The 22,529-nt window shown below is 43.4% G+C and overlaps 1 protein-coding gene and 1 pseudogene across 5 annotated transcripts in view, besides 1 other annotated feature; one reads left to right on the forward strand and one right to left on the reverse strand.

Annotated features, from left to right (window-relative positions):
- Positions 4,403–5,782, forward strand: KRT18P67 (keratin 18 pseudogene 67; annotated as a pseudogene).
- The window catches only part of RC3H2 (ring finger and CCCH-type domains 2), a 60,804-nt gene continuing 49,726 nt past the window's right edge, over positions 11,452–22,529 (reverse strand). For 2 of the 5 annotated variants that reach the window (NM_001354479.2, NM_001100588.3), the window contains 7 exons: positions 22,080–22,293; positions 21,427–21,511; positions 21,081–21,162; positions 20,848–20,982; positions 18,219–18,332; positions 17,977–18,125; positions 11,452–16,718 (listed from right to left, as the gene is read on the reverse strand). In NM_001354479.2, the coding sequence (NP_001341408.1) occupies positions 16,523–16,718; positions 17,977–18,125; positions 18,219–18,332; positions 20,848–20,982; positions 21,081–21,162; positions 21,427–21,511; positions 22,080–22,293 (975 nt within the window). In that variant the 3' untranslated portion in view covers positions 11,452–16,522. Of the gene's footprint in view, positions 16,719–17,976; positions 18,126–18,218; positions 18,333–20,689; positions 20,983–21,080; positions 21,163–21,426; positions 21,512–22,079; positions 22,294–22,529 lie in introns of those variants that run through there. The other 3 variants (NM_001354478.2, NM_001354482.2, NM_018835.5) reach the window with 3 other exon arrangements.
- Positions 18,258–19,033: an enhancer, noted in NCBI's record as "H3K27ac hESC enhancer chr9:125613641-125614416 (GRCh37/hg19 assembly coordinates)". NCBI's record gives its function as "activates a minimal SCP1, AML or CMV promoter by ChIP-STARR-seq in naive H9 embryonic stem cells {active_cell/tissue: H9 hESC(naive)}" and the evidence as "EXISTENCE:reporter gene assay evidence [ECO:0000049][PMID:30033119]".

A 22,529-nucleotide genomic window follows, 5' to 3' on the forward strand; every position in this document is an offset into this window, starting at 1 on the left:
GCTACTCAGAAGGCTGAGGAAAGAAAATTGCTTGAAGTCAGGAGGTGGAGGTTGCAGTGAGCTGAGATTGCACCACTCTAGCCTGGGTAATAGAGTGAGACTCCCTCTTAAAAAAAAAAAAAAAGTGGTATCTTTGATATGGCCTTTAATTTTAATTTTTTAAGTGAGTATTTTTTTAGATGTTGGATTGTCTATAAGCAACAATTAAATTACTATTTTCCCCTTTTTTTCTTTTTAGAGACAGGGTCCCACTCTGTCACCCAGGGAGGAGTGCAGTGGGATGACCATAGCTCACTGTGGCCTAACCTCTGGGGCTCAAGCCATCATCCCACTCAGCCTTCAAGTAGCTAGGACTGTAAGCGTGAGCCACCATGCCTGGCCTTTTTTTTTTTTTTTTTTTTTTTGAGACAGAGTCTTGCTCTGTCGCCCAGGCTGGAGTGCAGTGGCACGATCTCAGCCCACTGCAACCTCCACCTCCTGGGTTCAAGCGATTCTCCTGCCTCAGCCTCCCGAGTAGCTGGGACTTCAGGCACCCATCACCATGCCTGGCTAATTTTTGTATTTTTAGTAGGGGCAGGGTTTCACCAAGTTGGCCAGGCTGGTCCTGAACTCCTGACCTCAGGTGATTCACCCATCTTGGCATCTTGGCCTCCCAAAGTGCTGGGATTACAGGCGTGAGTAACCGCACTAGCCCCCTTTTTTTTTTTAGTAGAGATGAAGTCTTGCTATGTTGCCCAGGTTAGTCTCAAATTCCTGGCCTCAAATGATCCTCCCACCTCAGCCTCCCAAAGTGCTAGGATTATAAGTGTGAGCCACTGCACCCAGCCTTAAATTTCTTTTTAAAAAAGTTTTGATTAAGAAATCAAAGAAAATCAGAAAACCTCTGCTTTTATAGTTTTAGTAACAATACTTTTAGCAACTACCTTTTTCTTTAAGTAGCCCACACCTTTAACATTTAAGGAGTAAAATCTCTTTTTAAGGAATGTTTGAGGCTGGGAGCGGTGGCTCATGCCTGTAATCCGAGCACTTTGGGAGGCTGAGGCTGGCGATTACCTGAGCTCAGGAATTCAAGACCAGCCTGGGCAACTTGGCAAAACCCCGTTTCTACTAAAAATACAAAAGAAAATTAGCCAGGTGTGGTGGCACACACCTGTAATCCCAGCTACTCAGAAGGCTGAGGCAGGAGAATGGCTTGAACCCAGGAGGTGGATGTTAGAGGTTGCAGTGAGCCGAGATCGTGCCACTGCACTCTAAGCCTAGGTGAAAAGAGTGAAACTCCATCTCAAAAAAAAATTTTTTTCTTATTTATGTACATATATATTTTAATTCCTACAAGCCAATCAGAATGGAATACCATTAATTTTTTTTTTTTTTTTTTTTTTTTTTTTTTTGAGACAGAGTCTCGCTCTGTCGCCCAGGCTGGAGTGCGGTGGCGCAATCTCGGCTCACTGCAAGCTCCACCTCCCGGGTTCACGCCATTCTCCTGCCTCAGCCTCCCAAGTAGCTGGGACTACAGGCGGCCGCCACCACGCCCGGCTAATTTTTTGTATTTTTAGTAGAGACGGGGTTTCACCGTTTTAGCCAGGATGGTCTCTATCTCCTGACCTCTTGATCCGCCCGCCTCGGCCTCCCAAAGTGCTGGGATTATAGGCGTGAGCCACCGCGCCTGGCCCGGAATACCATTAAATTTTAAGAGACCTTATAATAATAGAATATAACCTTTACTTTGTTAATATGGTCAAGTACATAGATTGATTTTCAAATGCTAAAGCAACCTTGCATTCCTGAAATAAACACTATTTGGACTTGATGTATTATACCTGATATACATAGCTAGATTTACTAACATTTTAAGGATTTTTGCATCTATGTTCATGAGAGATATTAACCTACGATTTTCTTTTTTTGTAATGTACTGTGTGGTTATGTTTATCTAATAAAACTAGTTGTAAGTTCCCTCTTCCACTTTCTGAAGTAGCTTCTGTAAAATTGGCATTATTTCTCCTTAAATATTTATTAATAATAGAATAAACCTGTGAAGCGATCTGGGCCTGGAGTTTTCTTTGTGGGAAGGTTTTTCATAATTAATTCAATTTCTTTGGTAGTTATAGGGCTATGGCAGGCAGCTTCTAAAATCGCTCCTAGGCTAATGATCAATTTATTGCCCCTCTGCTCCCAATTCGCCCTTGAATATATGCTCTTCAATAATGGATAGAATTCAGTGAAGCATTTCTCCTTTGCAGTGAGCACAGTGATGAGCTTTCTCAGTAGAGGGCACTGGAGGGGCATTGCAGGAGGAGGGGCTCTCCTACTGTTTCCCACAGTTTCGTGGTAGGTCAGTGATGTGGATGTAATGACATCCAGGGGAGCTCTTTCCCAGCCATGTGTCCAGCACATATGGTCCCTTGGTGACATTGCAACCTCAGTCTAGACCAGCAACAATTTTCCTGTGGCCCTCTCAATGCGAAAATTAGCTTTCTGAAGGCTTCCTTCCTGTCGCCTACCAGTTTCCTGTCCCCCACCAGCCAACTCTCTCTGCAGGCTCCTGTGTACCTCTCCTGCTGCCTGGAGAGTAGCTTTCTGTCTGCCAGTGACTAGTTCCAGCCTGGGCCAACTAGCGGACCTCTGGGCTGAACTATACCTTCTCCGAGGTGTGACCCTCAGCCTTGAGAAGTGGACCCCTTTCCAAGTTTGTGTTTCCTTAGGTACTCTCCCTAACCTATAGAGTACTATGTGGAATTTACTTTTAGCTGGTAGTCATTTATTAGCATTTAATGATTCTTTATATTAAGCTTTACCCCATATAACGTACTGTGTAGTTTCTACCTCCTGATTGGACACAGACTGATACTACTCCCAAAGTTCCCCGCCTCTTGGTATTCATGCCCTGTGTAATCCCTTTCCCTTGCTTCTAAGGATTAGAATACCACAAAAGTAATGGGATGTTGCTTCCAAAATTTGGTTATAAAAGACTGTGACGTCTTTTTAGCACACACTCTCTCTCTCTCACTCTCTGTTGCCTGTATTGCTTGCTGCTTGGATGAGCCACTCTACCATATTGTGAGCTGCACTACAGAGAAGCTCATGTGGCCAGAAACTAACAGTAGCTGTATTAGTCCTTTCTTGTGATGCTATAAAGAAATAACTGAGATGGCCGGGCGCGGTGGCTCACGCCTGTAATCCCAGCACTTTGGGAGGCCGAGGGGGGTGGATCACGAGGTCAGGAGATTGAGGCCATCCTGGCCAACATGGTGAAACCCCGTCTCTACTAAAAATACAAAAATTAGCTGGGCATGGTGGTGGGCGCCTATAGTCCCAGCTACTCAGGAGGCTAACGCGTAAGAATCGCTTGAACCCGGGAGGCGGAGGTTGCAGTGAGCCAAGATAACGCCACTGTACTCCAGCCTGGCAACAGAGCAAGACTGTCTCAAAAAAAAGAAAAACAAAAAACAAAAAAAAAAAAACCTGAGACTGGTATTTCTACATAAAGAAATACCGATACTGATAAAGAAAAGAGGTTTAATTTGGCTCACAGTTCCGCAGGTTGTACAGGCATGGCACCAATAGCTGCTTAGCTCCTGGTGAGGGCCTGAGGAAGCTTACAATCATGACAGAAAGCAAAGAGGCGCCAGCATATCACGTGGTGAGAGCAGAAGCAAGGTGGGGGTAGGGGAGGTGTCACCCTCTTTTAAACAACCAGATCTAGCATGAACTGAGCAAGAACTCATCACCAAGGGGATGGCACTAAGCCATTTATGAGGGATCCATCCCCATGATCCAATACGTCCCACTAGGCCCCACGTCCAACACGAGGTCACATTTCAACATGAGATTTGGAGGGGACAAATATCCAAATCATATCATTCCTCCCCTGGCACCCATCCCCCACATCTCATGTCCTCCTCACGTTGCAAAATACAATAATCCCTTCTCGTTAATCCCCCAAAGTCTTAACTCATTCCAACATCAAATCAAAAGTCCTAAGTCTTCTCTGAGACTCACTTTCTTTCACCTATGAACCTGTAAAATCAAAACCAGTTATTTACTTCCAATAAACAACGGTAGTACAGGCATTGGGTAAACATTCCCATTCCAAAAGGGAGAAACTGACCGAAATAAAGGGGCTACAGGCCCTATGCAAGTCTGAAACTCAGCAGGGCAGATATTAAATCTTACAATTCCAAAATAATCCTTGAGACTGGGCAACATCGTGAAACCTGTCTCTACAGAAAATTAAAAAAACAAAATTAGCCAGGCATGGTGGTGTGCACCTGTAGTCCCAGCTACTCAGGAGGCTGAGGTGGGAGAATCACTTTAGCCCCAGAGGTCAAGGCTGCAGTGAGCCATGATTGCGCCACTGCTCTGGGCAACAGAGTGAGACCCTGTCTAAAACACACATACGGTCAGCAAAGCCTGACTCCTGTCCTCTCTCTCTCCTCTCCAGACAGCATGAGCTTCACCACTCGCTCCACCTTCTCCACCAACTACCAGTCCCTGGGCTCCGTCCAGCCGCCCAGCTACGGTGCCTGGCCGGTCAGGAGAGAGGCCAGCTGGTGGCGGGAGCTCTGGTTTCTGGATCTCCATGTCCCGCTTCACTAGCTTCTGGGGTGGCTTGGGGTCCGGGTTGTGGCCACAAGGATGGCCGGGGGTCTGGCAGGAATGGGAAGCATCCAGAACGAGAAGGAGCCCATGCAAAGCTGAACGGCCACCTGGCCCCCTACCTGGACAGAGTGAGGAGCCTGGAGACTGAGAACCAGAGGCTGGAGAGCAAAATCTGAGAGCATCTGGAGAAGAAGGGACCTCAGGCCAGAGACTGGGGCCTTTACTTCAAGACCATCGGGGGCCTGAGGGCTCAGATCTTCACAAATACTGTGGACAATGCCAGCATCATTCTGCAGATCGACAATGCCCGTCTTGCTGCTGGTTACTTTAGAGTCAAATATGAGACAGAGCTGGCCATACGCCAGTCTGTGCAGAGTGACATCCATGGGCTCCACAAGGTCACTGATGACACCAGTGTCACTCAGCTGCAGCTGGAGACAGAGATCGAGGCTCTCAAGGAGGAGCTGCTCTTCATGAAGAACCACAAAGAGAAAGTAAAAGGCCTGCAAGCCCAGGTTGCAGCTCTGGGTTGACTGTGGAGGTAGATGCCCCCAAATCTCTGAACCTCACCAAGATCATGGCAGACATCTGGGCCCAATACAGTGAACGGCCTCAGAAGAACCAAAAGGAGCTAGACAAGTAGTGGTCCCAGCAGATTGAGGAGAGCACCACAGTGGTCATGATGCAGTCCGCCGAGGTCGGAGCTGCTGAGATGACACTCACGGAGCTGAGATGTACAGTCCAGTCCTTGGAGATCAACCTGGACTCAATGAGAAATCTGAAGGCCAGGTTGGAGAACAGCCTGAGGGAGGTGGAGGGCCACTATGCCCTGCAGATGGAGCAGCTCAACGGGATCCTGCTGCACCTGGAGTCAGAGCTGGCACAGGGTATAGGGGCAGTGCCAGGCCCAGGAGTACGAAGCCCTGCTGAACATCAAGGTCAAGCTGGAGGCTGAGATTGCCACCTACTGCCGCCTGCTGGAAGATGGCAAGGACTTCAATCTTGGTGATGCCCTGGACAGCAGGAATTCCATGCAAAACATCCAAAAGACCACCACCCCCCAGATTGTGGATGGCAAAGTGGTGTCTGAGACCAATGACACCAAAATTCTGAGACATTAAGCCAGCAGAAGCAGGGTACTCTTTGGGGAGCAGGAGGGCAATAAAAAGTTCAGAGGTCAAAAAATACACACAGACACACAGACACACACACACACACACACACAAACACACAAATCCCTGACTCCATGTCTTCCATCCTGGACACACTGGTGCAAGATGTGGGCTCTCAAGGCCTTGACTAGCTTCATCCCTGTGGCTTTGCAGGGTGCAGCCCCTGTGGCTACTCCCCTACCAGCTGGAGATGGGCACCTGTGACTTTTCCAGGCTCAGGTTGCAAGTTGCAGGTAGCTCTACCATTCTCAGGTCTACAGAATGGCAGTCACTTCCCATAGCTCCACAAGACAGTGACCCAGTGGGGACTCTGTGTGGGGCCTCCAACCTCACATTTCCCCTTGGCATTGACGTAGTGAGTAACTCTTTGGGGACTCTGCCCTGCAGCTGGTTTCTGTCTGGGCACCTAGGCTTTTCCATAAATCCTCTGAAACCTAGGGGGAAGCTGCCAAGCTTCGTTCACTCTTGATTCCATGTGCCTGCAGACTTAACACTTAGAAGCTACCAAGGCTTAGGGCAACTTGCACTCTCCAAAGTGGCAGATGGAACCATAGCTGGGGCCCTTTGAGCCAAGACTGGAGCTGGAGCAGCCCACCGAGGTGGTGCAGGGCAGTAGTGTGCAGGGCAGCAGCACCCTGGCCTCGCCACGGAAACCATTCATTCCTCCTTGACCTCTGGGCTGTGACTCGAGGGGCTGCCTCAAACATCTCTGAAATGCAATACAGGTCTTTCTCCCATTTTCTTGGATAGTAGCACTTGGCTCCCTTTTAATCATGCTCATTTCTCTAGCAAGTGGTAGTTCTGCAGCCTGCTTGGATTCTTTCTCTTCCACAGGGAACAGTCTGCAAATTTTCCAAACTTTTCTACTCTGCTTCCCTTTTAAATATAACTTCCAACTTTAAGTCATTCCTTTGCTCCCGCATCTCATCATAGGCTTTTAGAAGAAACCATGCTACATCTTGAATGCTTTGCTGCTTAGAAATTTCTTCCACCAGATACCCTAAGTCATCATTCTGAAGTTCAAACTTCTACAGATCCCTAGGATGTGAACACCATGCAGCCAAGTCTTTTCTAGGGCATAACGGGGTTGACCTTTACTCCAGCTTTCAATAACTTCCTTATTTCCATCTGAGACCTCATCAGTCTGGCCTTCACTATCCACATTTCTATTAGCAATTTGGTCACAACCACTTAACAAGTCTCTAAGAAGTTCCAAAATTTCCCTTGTCTTCCTGTCTTCTTCTGAGCTCTCCAAACTCTTCTAACCTCAGCCTGTTACCCAGTTCCAAAGCCACTTTCACATTTTCAGGTATCTTTATAGCAATGCCACACTCCTCAGTACCAATGTTCTGTATTAGTCTGTTCTTGTGTTGTTCTACAAAGAAATAACGGAGTCTGGGTACTTTATAAAGAAAAGAGGTTTAATTTGGTTCACAGTTCTGCAGGCTGTACAGGCATGGCACCAACATCTGCTTAGTTTCTGTTGAGGGCCTCAAGAGGCTTACAATCATGGTGGAAAGCGAAGGGGAGCCAGTGTATCACATGGCAAGAGCAGGACCAAGGTGTGTGTGGGGTGCAGAAGTACCACACTCTTTTAAACAATCAGATCTAGCATGAACTGAGTGAGAACTCACTCATCAACCAGGGATGGTGCTAAGCCATTCTTGAGGGATCTGCCCCCATGATCCAATACATTCCACCAGGCCCCACCTTCAGCACGAGGCCACATTACAATATGAGATTTGGAGGGACAAACATCCAAGCCATTATCAGTAGCCTCCAGCCTCCAGCCAGCAAAAAAACTGATGTCCTCATTCCAAAGGGCATAAAGAACTGAATGAATTCTGCCAATAATCATGAGTGAGCTTGGAAGCGGATCCTTCCCCAGCTGGGCTGTGAGATGACTGCAGTGCCAGCCAACAGCTAGATTACAGCCTGTGAGAGACCCTGAAGCAGAGGACCTATTTAAGTCATATCCAGATTTCTGACCTACAGAAACTGAGGTGATACATTTTTTGGTAAGCCCCTAAGTTTTCCGGTAATTTGTTATACCAACAGATAATTAATACAAGAGTTATTCCAATTTTTATTTTCATTTTGTATCCAGTTTGGTAAACTGTATTTTTAAGGAATTTGTCCATTTCCAAGTTAAGACCTTATTATAGTCTTATTTATTAATTTCCTTCAGAGGTAGACAAAGTATACCAATTCATTCACTGAAAAAAAAAAAACTTCAGAAATAAAAACTTATGTCCACACAGAAACATGCATACAAATGTTCATAGCAGCTTTATTTGTAACAGCCAAAAATTTGAAACATTCCAAATGCCCTTCAATGAGTTAATAGCTAAAGACACCATTACCATGGTGTGTAGTATACATGTAGTATACCATGGTACCACGGATGTACCATGGCATATTACCCAGCAACATAAAGAAAAAAACTATTAATACATACAACCATTTGGATGAATTTCAAGGGAATTATGCTGAGTGAAAACAAAAAGCCAATCTCGAGGTTACATATGGTGTAATTCCAGTAATATAACATTCCCAAAATGACAAAATTACAAAGATGGAGAACAGATTAGTGGTTGCCAGGGTTTAGGGATGGGAGAATGGGGATAAGCAAGGAAAATGGATGTGATATAAAGGGGTAGCATGAGGGATCACTGAGGAGATGGAACAGCTCTTGATAGTAGTGGTGGTTCCACAAATCTACATGTGAAAACTACATAGAACTTACACACACACGAACATGCACATGCATGCAAATGAGTGCATGGGAAAGCGGTGAAATCTGAATAAGCTCTGGATTGTAGGAATGTCAAGTTCCTGGTTTTAATATTATAATTAGGGGCTGGGCTTGGGTGGCTCACGGCTGAAATCCTAGCACTTTGGGAGGCTGAGGTGGGTGGAACCCTTGGGTTGAAGAGTTTGGGACCAGCCTGGGCAACATGGCAAAACCCCATCTCTACAAAACATACAAAAACTAACCAGGCGTGGTTGTGTGCACCTGTAGTGCCAGCTACTTAGGAGGCTGAGGTGGGAGGATCACCTAAGCCCAGAAGGTAGAAGTTGCAGATCATGCCACTGCTGCACTCCAGCCTGAGCGACAGTGAGACTCTGTCTCAAAAAAAAAACAAAAAAAACAAAAAACTATAGTTATGTAACATGTTACCACTGGAGAAGGTGTGTGAAGCTATATGGTCCTCTGTACAATTTTTGCACTTCCTGTGAATCTACAATTATTTCGAAATATAAAACTTTTTTAAAAACTTCAGTTGATCTTATCTAAAATCTCGGGTTTAAATATCTCTTTAATTAATTAATTTGAGATGGACTCTCACTCTGTCACTCAGGCTGGAATGCGGTGGCAAAATCTTGGCTCACTGCAACCTCCAAATTCCAGGTTCCAGTGATTCTCTTGCCTCACCCTCCTGAGTTCCTGAAACTACAGGTGCTTGCCACCATGCTTGGCTAATTTTTTGTATTTTTAGTAGAGGCAGGTTTCACCATGTTGGCCAGGCTGGTCTCGAACTCCTGACCTTAAGTGATCTGCCCTCCTTGGCCTCCCAAAGTGCTGGGATTACAGGCGTGAGCCACCATGCCCGGCCCTAAATTCCTATTTTAAATGGCACCCTCCATCTGATTCTCACTGGATCTGCCTTTTGAATAAAGACCTGAAGTGAAAGATCTAATCATGAAGATATTCCATGGGTATCTGGGATACTTTGTTAATGTGCATGATAATTATTTCAATAGATATTATAAAGGAAATAAAATCTCCCTGGAATTTCATTTCCTTAAGTTTCCTCTCCCTTACCTGGATCACCCATCCATGGTTTTTCACCCTCTTCCTCCTTCCTGATCTCCATTGTCACATACTTTAGGATGTATATAACATGTTTTACAAATATTGGACTGTTCTCAGCAATGGGGTCTGGGATTTTAAGCCAAATTTAATCCCCTATATTGATTGGGTAGATGTCCAATAGACTTCCTACACTACAAATCCTGTCCATTGCTGTCTCCTACTTTTTAAATCCATCTTTTTTTCCTCCGTCCCAGCTTGGCCATGCTCTCAATACTTCTTACCTAGATTGCTGACCTGGCCTCCCTGCTGGTCTATCTCCAGCTTTACCTTTCACCCCATGGCTAAAGGGATCTAAAATCCCAAATTGTTTAGATTATATAACTCGTCTCTTTAGAATGGTATTTGCTGTCCTTCATGAAGTCCCTACCTACCTCCTCTGCGACCTTGGGCAAAATCTCTTAAGATCTCAGCCTCAGTTTTATGGTCCTAAGTCGTGATATATTATTGTACTTACAACTGTTTCTAGAAAATATTAAGTGCTCTATTAGTCACTGAAGCACCATTCCTTAAACACCTCTTCCATTGTAACACTTACGGTCAATATAAGTTCCGATCACCATGACCACCACCACCTCCTTGAGAGGTAGAAAAGAGGCAGACAAATCAGAATTCTGATTCTACTACTTTGTAGTTACAACATCTGGGCGAGTTAGATAACATCTCAAACATAAGATACGGGTTATAACATCTAAAGTAAAGGACGGTAGTTTGTTTTTTCTTTTTTTTTTTTTTTGAGACGGAGTCTCACTCTGTCGCCCAGGCTGGATTGCAGCGGCGCGATCTCGGCTCACTGCAAGCTCCGCCTTCCGGGTTCACGCCGTTCTCCTGCCCCTGCCTCCCGAGTAGCTGGGACTACAGGCGTCCGCCACCACGCCCGACTAATTTTTTGTATTTTTAGTAGAGACGGGGTTTCACCGTGTTAGCCAGGATGGTCTCAATCTCCTGACCTCGTGATCCAGCCGCCTTGGCCTCCCAAAGTGCTGGGATTACAGGCGTGAACCACTGCGCCCGGCCTGTTTTTTCCTCTTTTCTATCCAAGACAGTACTTCAAGGAATGATAGTTCAAGATTGAGTGGGTTGTTGTGAAGGTACAGTTGGAACTCAGGGTGCTTCCTCTACTTACCTCTGCATGGTGCGATGTTATGTAGCTAAAAGTATAGCTGGAGGTCATTTTACAGGGAAGTACTTCCTTTTGCTCACCACTGCCACTAACCCCATAATTTCTTTTGGAGTTTCCCTACACCCTACATTAGAACAATAGCTCACTGAATTATTCTGTCTTCTGATTTTCCATACTGTGATTTTCTAGAGAAGAAACTCATGTTTCATGGACCTTTAACCTTACTGAACAGCACAGACAGGGGTTTAAAATATATCAGCTGAATGAATGAATAAAACCACTTGAGGCCCAATGAAAATGGTGTCTAGATCCACCCAAGGCGTTCTCCTGAGGTCCACAGAATTGTCTTCAAACTTCTATGATACATTGCTTTGTATTAGTTATGCATCTGTCCTACTTTCTCCACTAGACAGTAAACTCAGTACTATCTACATCCTCATCTCCCACCCAGAAAGTGCTGTGTTGAATGAAGGAAGTGACTTGACAGAATTAAGGTATATCTCAACCTCCTTGGGTCTATTCATTTCTTTCAAATCCTTCCTTATGATATATAGATGAGGCATGCAATCATTTAAATCTCAAGGAGTGACCTGGTAGCTCTGTTAAGCCAAAAACTATGCCAAGAAAATCTAGATAACTAAAACATACCATAAACTTAATATTGACATTAAACAAACAACTTTTAAGGTGGACAAATAATTTTATTTTGTGCATGCAAATACATGTCAAGTACTGCAAACTTTTTCCATCAATTTTCTCTCAAACACTGAAAATCATGATGCTCTATTTTGTGAACAGCCAAAGCTAATATCTCTTCACTTCAGTGCTACAGCAAAAACACACAGAATTCACTCTTTGCTATTCACTATCATCACAACCCTCATTGTTCCATCTCTGCCCTCCCCCCATATACAGGCCTTATAAATCCTAGTCTTCCCCCATTTAATCCTATTCCTATAGCACAAAGGGAAACATTACAATTTGGAAATTCAAATTGAAATAAATGGAATAGAATTTATTCCCATATATATTCCCCATTTCATTGTACAGAATTATTTTAAATTATAGTTTTAAATAGAAGCTGAGTATATGCCTTAAAAATGAGCATTAAATCCATCTTAGAGATGGTGCCTGCTTTTTACATGATGGGTGTACACCATCTTTAATTTCATTTACATTTCAATCGAACAATAGATTTGCAAAGAAAATGTCTAATACAGACGTAAAAATATTCACACTAGAGCTTCACAATCGGTTGTACAATTGACAAACAGGCCTCTTTTCCCAAACTTTCCAGCTAAGCAAATTTATAAAATGTAATCAATGCAACAAGAAAAACATTTCTCTTTCACTTCCAGGGAAAAGAATATGCAATAAACAGTATAAATGCAGACAGCAGTTGCTGCAAGCTAACCACGATACTCCCAAGTGGCTGTACAGTGGATATGTGCAGTACAAATAAAAGCCACATGTGTTGTATCACAACTACAGTATAATTGTTTGCCCAGCTAAGAGAATGCATGCACTTCCATGCCTTGGGTTATAAAGTGAGGCCTAATTCTCGACAGGTTGATGGAATATGTGCAAATGACCTTGGCTTTTGGCAGTACTAAGTGCAGCCAGTGTCTGTGTTCCACTGGTTTGGGAATATTTTAAAAATTTTATTAAAAAAAAGAAAAAACTGCCAATTTTAGACTAGAAGGGAATAACTGCTCTTGGAGTAAAAATAAGACTCCACTCAAATGTGGGGTGTTTTGATCTGTGGTCTTGACGCCTTGTATTCCCTTGCCAGCAAAGGGATACAAGGAAGACGCTAGTATAAAGACATTACTAGCAAACTTCTTCAATTTATCCAGAAAATGGGATACTCCTTGAGCATGTTCTTTTGTGTTCTGCTTGCAGAAGGGGTCCTTATGTAGAAGGAGTTACAGTAAGTGATCCCATCAAGCCTCTTCATTCACTAAAACAAAAGAAAAGTTCTTCCAGGAAACCAATGCATAGTTGCAATGCAACTTTTCCCTTTAATGCTTAGTTATCAATACTGGTGACAGTCTGCTCCAAAAATGACTCAAAGAAGATAGGGAAGAAATACTCAGATTCAAAGGTGAAATCACATGCTGAATCTGATGGTTATACATTCCACCCCTGTTAACAAGACAACATAGGCTTTAATGTCTAAAATCCAAAAGCAAACTAGATGGTTTTTAAAATAATTTTTCAAATGTTTAAATGATCCCATTTGAAATTCCTACAAATTGCCGTGCATCCTGTAATTTTCTCAAGGCAGCATATAAAATTGGGATGTGCTTTATATACTTAACCTCAAATTGAAATCTGAAAGTGACTAGATCCATACAAATGGAAAATTTCAGTTCTTGTATAGGAAATTTCTTTTATTATCCTCTTACTAGAATAAATAGCTATGATGGGAAGGAAAAATCAGTGCCACTGGCCTAATGAACTCCCTTTTTTTTGAAAATTACAATGCACAACTTTCATGTATGACACTGGTTTATCACATGGCATTGAAAATAAGACGTGGCAGCAAAGGCAAGGGAATCTGCTTTGTTCAGGTACCAACTAGAAAAAATATATATGTAACTTCCTCTGAATTCATAAAATGAAATGAAACCACAAAAAAACTGATGCTACAACCACAGTAACTGAATGCGGCACATGGATTTCAGAATGGAACTTAGAAATTAAAAAACAAAAACACAAAAAATGAAAGAAAATAACCACCACTTTCCTGCTTTCCAGACCTCAGACTATTTTTTCTGATTAGACAATAGGTAACATATGCAGTTTGGTTACCCACATTACACATTTCCTCTCTTGTTGCTTTGTATCCTTTGATTCCAAATTTGTACATCACATCTTGTTGGTAAAAAGGCCAAATGACGGGAAATGCCTCAATTTTAAAAAGTCATATCCTAGGTCTGATTTGTAACATTTTCCTCGATGATATCAGTAGGTACCATTCTGAAGAAGGATCAGATGAACTGCCCTTTCTTCGAAAGTGGCAGAGAACCAATGGCTTTACTTCACATTAAGCCCACCATGACAGACAGAAGGTGACCACTACATAGAGAATGGATGCAACACAGAATAATCTCAACACAGAAACAATTCCTATGTTGTTAGTGAAAAAGAGAGTAAGTTTTTAAGAACAGGGAGTTATTGTTTTATGGGATCACCTGCTGCAAGACAAGCATTATTTTAATATAAATGTTCTGAGACATACCAATAAGGTTGGCAGGTATATACATATACTGATGCAAATGTAATTTCACTGGACAAGTAGGCAAACATCTAAGCAGTTTATCCCAACCCCCTCCAGCAGAGCACAACCAAGTTTCAAAATTTCAATTTTAAAATTAAAAAGATAAGGTTAAATACACAAGATCAATTTATGTAGTATATATTCACCCTCAGAACGTGCTGAAGATGTTTTGTGTAGTTCTGTTGCACAGAGGGTTCTTTCCCTGAGGGCACATAAGGAGCTCTCAAACTGTTAATAGGTCTCTATTTTGTAACAAAATAGCAATTTTAAAATCTTAAAAAAAAATACATTACCTTCAACATGGAAGATCTCACTATTAAATATCCATGAAATAGACAGACTGGTTTGCATATCCTTTTTGGAATTACAAACAGCAAATAAAGTACATTGGAAGCATTTCAAATGTAATAAGCACATATTTATAGAAAGGTTCTGATATAAATTATATAACAATCATGTTCCTGTAATATTCTAGGCTAATTTATAATGTCAGAAAAGTTAATGTAACATGGTTTAAAACCCTTGTTCCTATTCATTTCAGGTTACAGAGTGAAATAAATAAAATGTCTTCATAGGGATGGGGAGCACTGGCCATGGCAAAAAAGGTACAGTACTAACCAAAGGAAACTAAGTCAAGGCTACTGTGCTGTTGTTATGCTACAAACAAACATCTTCATACATTTGAGTATTAAATAAATGTGTAAGATCTTCCATACTGACACCAGAATATCAAAACTACCCCTTTGTTTCTCAGGTATATTTACAACTTATCAGTCACCTTATGAGCATGTTCATTAAGACAGGTATCAAACACCAGTATTTACTCATTCTAATCAAGAAATTTCAGGGAAATGTCAACCCTCCCGCCCCTGGAAATGTGCACAAAACTTTTTATCAAAATCTTATCTGATACAATGCTGTGGTTTTGTAAAACAACTAAATAGCTCAGACGACCAATAACATGATCCTGTTTAAGCATCTTGCTAGCAGGAAAAGCCCTTACATACAGTACACCTGGTGAAAGATCAGCTTGGCTTAAAATATTCCAGTACAATTTTCAGAGTAAACAACTTCACAGAAGTTAATTAAAAAAATAATAATAAAAGTCAAACTAATCTTAAAGAAACAGAAGAAAAACAGATAGATAAACTATAGGTAAAGATCACCAGGAAGGAATGCCCAGCTCTTCTTTTCAAATGTTGACTGAAATTTAGGTTTCAGTACAATACCTCCCACAAATCTGATGCATGACTTGTTGAACACATTGTATACTTTCAGATGCCAAGTCAAAACCATTTCAGTCACATTTTAGCAAGGCAGAAATTATTCATGTTCTTAAGTATGAATAAATGTTAGCCACTGTTCTACTATTACACAGTTCATAGTCTTATCAACCTAACAGTCAAAAAACAAGAAAAACTAAACCCCAACATGAAGTAACAATAAACAATATTTAACCAAGATAATGCAATGAACAACCAAATTAATTAGTTTAAATTAAAAACCCAGCAATACCATCTTGTTAGTCAGTGCAAACGCTACATACAGGGTTTTCTCAAGAAAGCTGAAAGCACCTGATTCTTTTGCCAAGTCATCAGATTCAATAATGTACAGGCTTAAATCTGCATTTTAAAAAACTGCCATTACATTAGTGCATAATTTATCAAAATTGTAAAAACGATTCTGCATAACTTAGGAGAATTTAATATCTAGTACATCAGCTGAAAGACTTAGGCACTTGGTTATATTTTTAATTAATTACTTCAACAAGTAGCCTGTGTATAAATATTAACAAAGCAGAAACTACTCTTGAAAAATGGAAAATTAAAAAAAAATTATATGCTACAGATAAAAGCACTGCACCACACTCCTACATATAATGCAGTAAAGAATGCTAGTATATAACCCTGTAAAATTCTATGGTAAGAACATCTAACTCCACTCTTCAAAATTAAAAAAAGAAAAAGAAATCCATGCAAAGTTCCATGAAAAAGATAAATAAAGCAGCTGGAATGAGATGGAAACTTCTCTCAGTGAAACATAAAATAGAAATAAATAAGTTAACTAAGTCTACTTTCACTAGATGTATCATTGTAGGATCCTGCTAGTTTAATAACTGAGTTGTTAATTTTCTATAGAAGCCATTTAAAATAGGAAATGGCTCAGTTACTGCACCGGATTGCTACAAACTCATAAAAAGCTGCTTGAAGCTTAAGTTAAATGTTGTCCAAATTCCAATCATTTCTGGAAAGTGAACATGTTACCCTAGTAAAGTAAATTTTCTTTTTTTTTTTCATAATGCTAATGCAAGAGGGCTTGAAGTATCAAAGAGTCCACAGGAAATGGATGCCCCCAGTAATATCTTTTTTTTAAAAAAAATATACATTATATAATATATATTATATATATAAAAAGCTAGTGTAAATGCTTCCATGGTGTGGTCACAAATTTGAAAGATGAACCTCCTTTCAGCTGTTAACCATCTTCCCATTTGCAACAGGTTTTAAAAAGTCGTTTTTATCTTCAGACATAACATGAGTTTTCAGAATGAGGTTGCCAGCACTGACAGATGTGGTGATGGGGAGGCAACTTGCATTGCTAATAGACACTGGGAGTGGCTGGCTAAAGCAAGAAGTTACCGGCAGAATTGTTTTTTGCTCCTCCCTGAGAAAAAAGAAATGACATTAAAAACAAATTAGCTTTAAGTGCAAACTGTTAAGGGTGACTATACATATTTAATGAAAGCTACAGCAAACTTTAGGAGTCTCTAGCAAAGACATGTCTTTATCACTAGAAGTATCAGAAGTAACTAGAAAAGTCCTGTTTTCCTATTTTTGAGACAGAGTCTCCCTCCGTCGCCCAGGCTGGAGTGCAGTGGCATGATCTCGGCTCAATGCAACCTCTGCCTCCTGGATTCAAGCAATTCTCCTGCCTCAGCCTCCCAAGTAGCTGGGATTACAGGCATGTGCCACCACGCCCAGCTATTTTGTATTTTTAGTAGAGATGGGGTTTCACCATGTTGGCCAGGCTGGTCTAGAACTCCTGACCTCAAATGATCCACCCGCCTCGGCCTCCCAAAGTGCTGGGATTACAGGTGTGAGCCACCACTCCTGGCTTGAAAAGTCCTGTTTTCCAAAAGTTATGATAAAAATTAAAATACTAGTTAGTTTAAGGCCAAACTACCAAGTTGAAGATTAAGCCCATATTTTTGGCAGTAATTATTCAAAATGGCAGTATTATAGCCAAGAAAATATACTATATTATATGCTATCTATCTATAGATAGATAGATAGATAGATAATTTTGAGATGGAGTCTCAGTCTGTCGCCCAGGCTGGAGTGCAGTGTCACGATCTTGGCTCACTGTCTCCGCCTCCCGGGTTCAAGCGATTCTCCTGCCTCAGCCTCCCAGGCAGCTGAGAATACAGGTGCCCGCCACTATGCCCAGCTAATTTTTTTGTATTTTTGTAGAGACAGGGTTTCACTATGTTGGCCAGGCTGCTCTTGAACTCCTTGTGATCCACCCGCCTCAGCCTTCCAAAGTGCTGGGATTACAGCCATGAGCCACTACGCCCAGCCTAGCCAAGAAAATCTTAACATGATTTTCAAAAAGAGAAACCATTAATCTAGGTTGTCATTCTCCATTTTGTAGTCTAGAAATTTGGCAACCAGATTAAAGAAGCATAACCTGATGCTGGAACACAGATTAACTTTATCTCAACAAAAAGCAAGTTTCAGGCTACCAAAATGGACTGCTTTGTTAGTTCAATTTTACTTTTTCTTCCCTAAAAATCCAGATTGACCAAATCATTGCCCATATAAGGTCTTCCCCTCACAGCATAAAGCCAAAAATTAATTTCGCATTTTTTTCTCTTTATTATGTCCTATGCCCACTGTTTATGAATTTTCTGTCTAACACTCACAGAATCACATGGTCTTCACCTAAACTCTGTTTCTTCTGCTTTGGTGGCTCCTTTTGGTGCTGCTGTACTGGATGCCCATTTTCCACTGCCATTCCATTTAGCAACTGATCATTTTGAGAACTGATACCAAGCTGTATGTCCAAGATCTCCTAAGAAAATAAAATGTTAATCCTTCAGTATGAAAGTATTTTATAAATTTTCAATCAAACAAAGCCTCTCAATTATCTAATTGTGGCACTTACTTCAATTGGTTCACTTTGTCCATCAGGTTCATCAGTATCAAGTGCTGAAAGCTCTAACTCGATATCCCTATCAGGTTTAGTATCTGTTGCATCTTCTGTATAATCACTCTGTAACTAAGAAAAATACTGATTTTGCTCTCCCTCTCCCTCTCCCTCTCCCCATGGTCTCCCTCTCCCCATGGTCTCCCTCTCCCTCTCTTTCCATGGTCTCCCTCTCATGCCGAGCCGAAGCTGGACTATACTGCTGCCATCTCGGCTCACTGCAACCTCCCTGCCTGATTCTCCTGCCTCAGCCTGCAGAGTGCCTGCAATTGCAGGCGCGCGCCGCCACGCCTGACTGGTTTTCGTATTTTTTTGGTGGAGACGGGGTTTCGCTGTGATGGCCGGGCTGGTCTCCAGCTCCTAACCACGAGTGATCTGCCAGCCTCGGCCTCCCGAGGTGCCGGGATTGCAGACGGAGTCTGGTTCACTCAGTGCTCAATGGCGCCCAGGCTGGAGTGCAGTGGCGTGATCTCGGCTCGCTACAACCTCCACCTCCCAGCCGCCTGCCTTGGCCTCCCAAAAAGCCGAGATTGCAGCCTCTGCCCGGCCGCCACCCCGTCTGGGAAGTGAGGAGCGTCTCTGCCTGGCCGCCCATCGTCTGGGATGTGAGGAGCCCCTCTGCCTGGCTGCCCAGTCTGGAAAGTGAGGACCGTCTCTGCCCGGCCGCCATCCCATCTGGGAAGTGAGGAGCGCCTCTTCCCGGCCGCCATCACATCTAGGAAGTGAGGAGCGTCTCTGCCCGGCCGCCCGTCGTCTGGGATGTGGGGAGCGCCTCTGCCCCGCCGCCCTGTCTGGGATGTGAGGAATGCCTCTGCCCGGCCGCCACCCCGTCTGGGAGGTGAGGAGCGTCTCTGCCCGGCCGCCCCGTCTGAGAAGTGAGGAGACCCTCCGCCCGGCAGCCGCCCCGTATGAGAAGTGAGGAGCCTCTCCGCCCGGCAGCCGCCCCGTCTGAGAAGTGAGGAGCCTCTCTGCCTGGCAGCCACCCCGTCTGGGAAGTGAGGAGCGTCTCCGCCCGGCAGCCGCCCCGTCCGGGAGGGAGGTGGGGGGGTCAGCCCCCCGCCTGGCCAGCCGCCCCGTCCGGGAGGTGAGGGGCGCCTCTGCCCGGCCGCCCCTACTGGGAAGTGAGGAGCCCCTCTGCCTAGCCAGCCGCCCCGTCCGGGAGGGAGGTGGGGGGGTCAGCCCCCCGCCCGGCCAGCCGCCCCGTCCGGGAGGGAGGTGTGGGGGTCAGCCCCCGGCCCGGCCAGCCGCCCTGACCGGGAGGGAGGTGGAGGGGTCAGCTCCCAACCCGGCCAGCCGCCCTGTCCGGGAGGTGAGGGGCGCCTCTGCCCTGCCGCCCCTACTGGGAAGTGAGGAGCCCCTCTGCCCGGCCAGCCGCCCCGTCCGGGAGGGAGGTGGGGGGGTCAGCCCCCCGCCTGGCCAGCCGCCCCATCCGGGAGGTGAGGGGCGCCTCTGCCCGGCCGCCCCTACTGGGAAGTGAGGAGCCCCTCTGCCCAGCCACCACCCCGTCTGGGAGGTGTGCCCAACAGCTCATTGAGAACGGGCCATGATGACAATGGCGGTTTTGTGGAATAGAAAGGGGGGAAAGGTGGGGAAAAGATTGAGAAATCGGATGGTAGCCGTGTCTGTGTAGAAAGAAGTAGACATGGGAGACTTTTCATTTTGTTCTGTACTAAGAAAAATTCTTCTGCCTTGGGATCCTGTTGATCTGTGACCTTACCTCCAACCCTGTGCTCTCTGAAACATGTGCTGTGTCCACTCAGAGTTAAATGGCTTAAGGGCGGTGCAAGATGTGCTTTGTTAAACAGATGCTTGAAGGCAGCATGCTCATTAAGAGTCATCACCACTCCCTAATCTCAAGTACCCAGGGACACAAACGCTGCGGAAGGCCGCAGGGTCCTCTGCCTAGGAAAACCAGAGACCTTTGTTCACTTGTTTATCTGCTGACCTTCCCTCCACTATTGTCCTATGACCCTGCCAAATCCCCCTCTGTGAGAAACACCCAAGAATGATCAATAAAAAAAAAAAAAAAAAAAGAAAAATACTGATTTTATACCTGTGGAACCTGGGGTTTCCCTTTTAAATTAAAGTAAAAAATCCCAATGATCAGCCAGGCACGGGGGCTCACACCTGTAATCCTAGCACTTTGGGAAGGTGAGGCGAGCAGATCACTTGAGGTCAGGAGTTCAAGACCAGCTTAGCCAACATGGTGAAACCCTGTCTCTACTAAAAACACAAAAATTAGCTGGGCATGGTGGTGGGTGCCTGTAATCCCAGCTACTCGGGAAGCTGAGGCAGGAGAATCGCTTGAACCTGAGAGCCAGAGGCTGCAGTGAGCCAAGATCGTGCCATTGCACTCCAGGCGATAGAGCAAGATTCCATCTCAAAAAAACAAAAATCCCGATGATCTAGTTAAAGAATTATTTAAGAAATCTGGGATTACAATTTTATTTCTGTTATAAGTTTTAAAAGCAATCAATCATCCATCAGAGATAGGCACACCAAAATGCACTCAGTAATGGTATAACCAAGATGCAGCAGCAGAAAACAAATACATTAAGCATGAAGCCGAAAGGTTCAGTTTCTTTACCTCTCCATTTCTTAGTTCAATTTCCTTGCTTAAAAGGTTTAAGGTAAGGTGACGGCCTTCATCCAGGGAATTCCACTTCTGTTGCATGGCCAAAGCATTGGCCTCTCTCTGAAGAAGTAATGAGTTGCTCTTGGCCTATATGAGGAGGGAAAAAAAGAAAAGTTAGCTTCCAACTATAGCTTTCAACTGTCATTCTATTTCTCAAAAATTTATAGCTGAGTTACAGAGCCTACCTGCTGAAGTTCAAGGCTCAAAAGGTCCCCAGTACTGGAATGCTTTCTATGACCAGATAAATCAGTAACAATGAATCTGTCCCTTTAAAGAGAAATATGTTTATTGTAATAAAAGTGAAGTGAATGAAGCAACAAAAGCAGTAATAACCATATGTTTTATGTGACAGATCAACCCTGAAAACTTCACTCATCGTTCCAAATTTAAATGCAAATATTTTTCAGAAATTTGTTATATAGCTCAGACAACAAGCAAAGCACATTTCATGAACTGGGGGTAGAATGTGTACCCTTAAGATACATACAAGTCTGAGAATGGAGAATCATATAGAATTAAGAAGAACGTTACCTTTCAACATAGTGTGCTGATGATGTGGCCTCGTTGCCATATGAACTCCACCTTGAATCAACAGCATTGACATAAGGGACATAATCTACAGACATGTAGAATGAAACAATGGTCAAAAAAGTGAAAAATCAGTGTACTGAGGTGAATGTATACTTCTCAAAATAGATCTGTATTTTATCCCACTAGCCATATGATGCTGGTTAAACACCTAATTCTGAGTTTCCCATGGTTGTTAAATGGAGGGAAATGTTTTCCATTTCACAAGTTGGGGATTAAAAAGCACAGTGCTTAGGACAGGCACAGTGGCTCACATATGTAATCCCAGCACTTTGCGAGGCTGAGGCGGGTGGATCACATGAGGCCAGGAGTTCCAGACCAGCCTGGCCAACATGGCGAAACTAAAATACAAAATACTCTCTACTAAAAATACAAAAATTAGCCAGGCATGGTGGTGCATGTCTATAATCCCAGCTACTTGGGAGGCTGAGGCAGGAGAATCGCTTGAACCCAGGATGGAGGTTGCAGTGAGCCAAGATCACACCACTGCATTCCAGTCTGGGCAACAGAGTGAGACTCTGTCTCAATTAAAAAAAAAAAAAAAAAAGGCATAGTGCTTAGAACATATCAGGCTAGGTATTATCTAAATGGATTACCTGATACACTGATGGGCTTAGTCGCACTTCCTTGGGAAGCAGTGGCCTGGACAGGATCTGTGGTATGGTAACCTGTACGGGAAGATCTGGAAATCGCACCCCATTTTGAGATGATGGGTCCATCACTAAAGGGAATTATTGGATCTTCTTCTTTTGTCCTTCTCTGGGTTTCAAATAAATGTACTCTTCTCTTAACATCACCACTGTCCAGGTCCTATGTAAACCAAAGAAAATCAATAAAAGGACTGTTGGCAATTACTTCAGCTAGTAAATATATGCTATCAAAAGACATGTAATTAGGTTTTTTGGTTAATTTAAAACTAGCTCTAGACTCAACGATAATCCAACAAACTACCAGTAAACCACCAATGTTCAAATAACTTAAATATTAAATATAATTTATTTCAGACTTACCTAAATATAACCCTGCTGCTACTGAGTTATAAGGCA

The sequence above is a fragment of the Homo sapiens genome, chromosome 9 (genome assembly GCF_000001405.40).
Source record: "Homo sapiens chromosome 9, GRCh38.p14 Primary Assembly".
Lineage (NCBI taxonomy): Eukaryota > Metazoa > Chordata > Mammalia > Primates > Hominidae > Homo > Homo sapiens.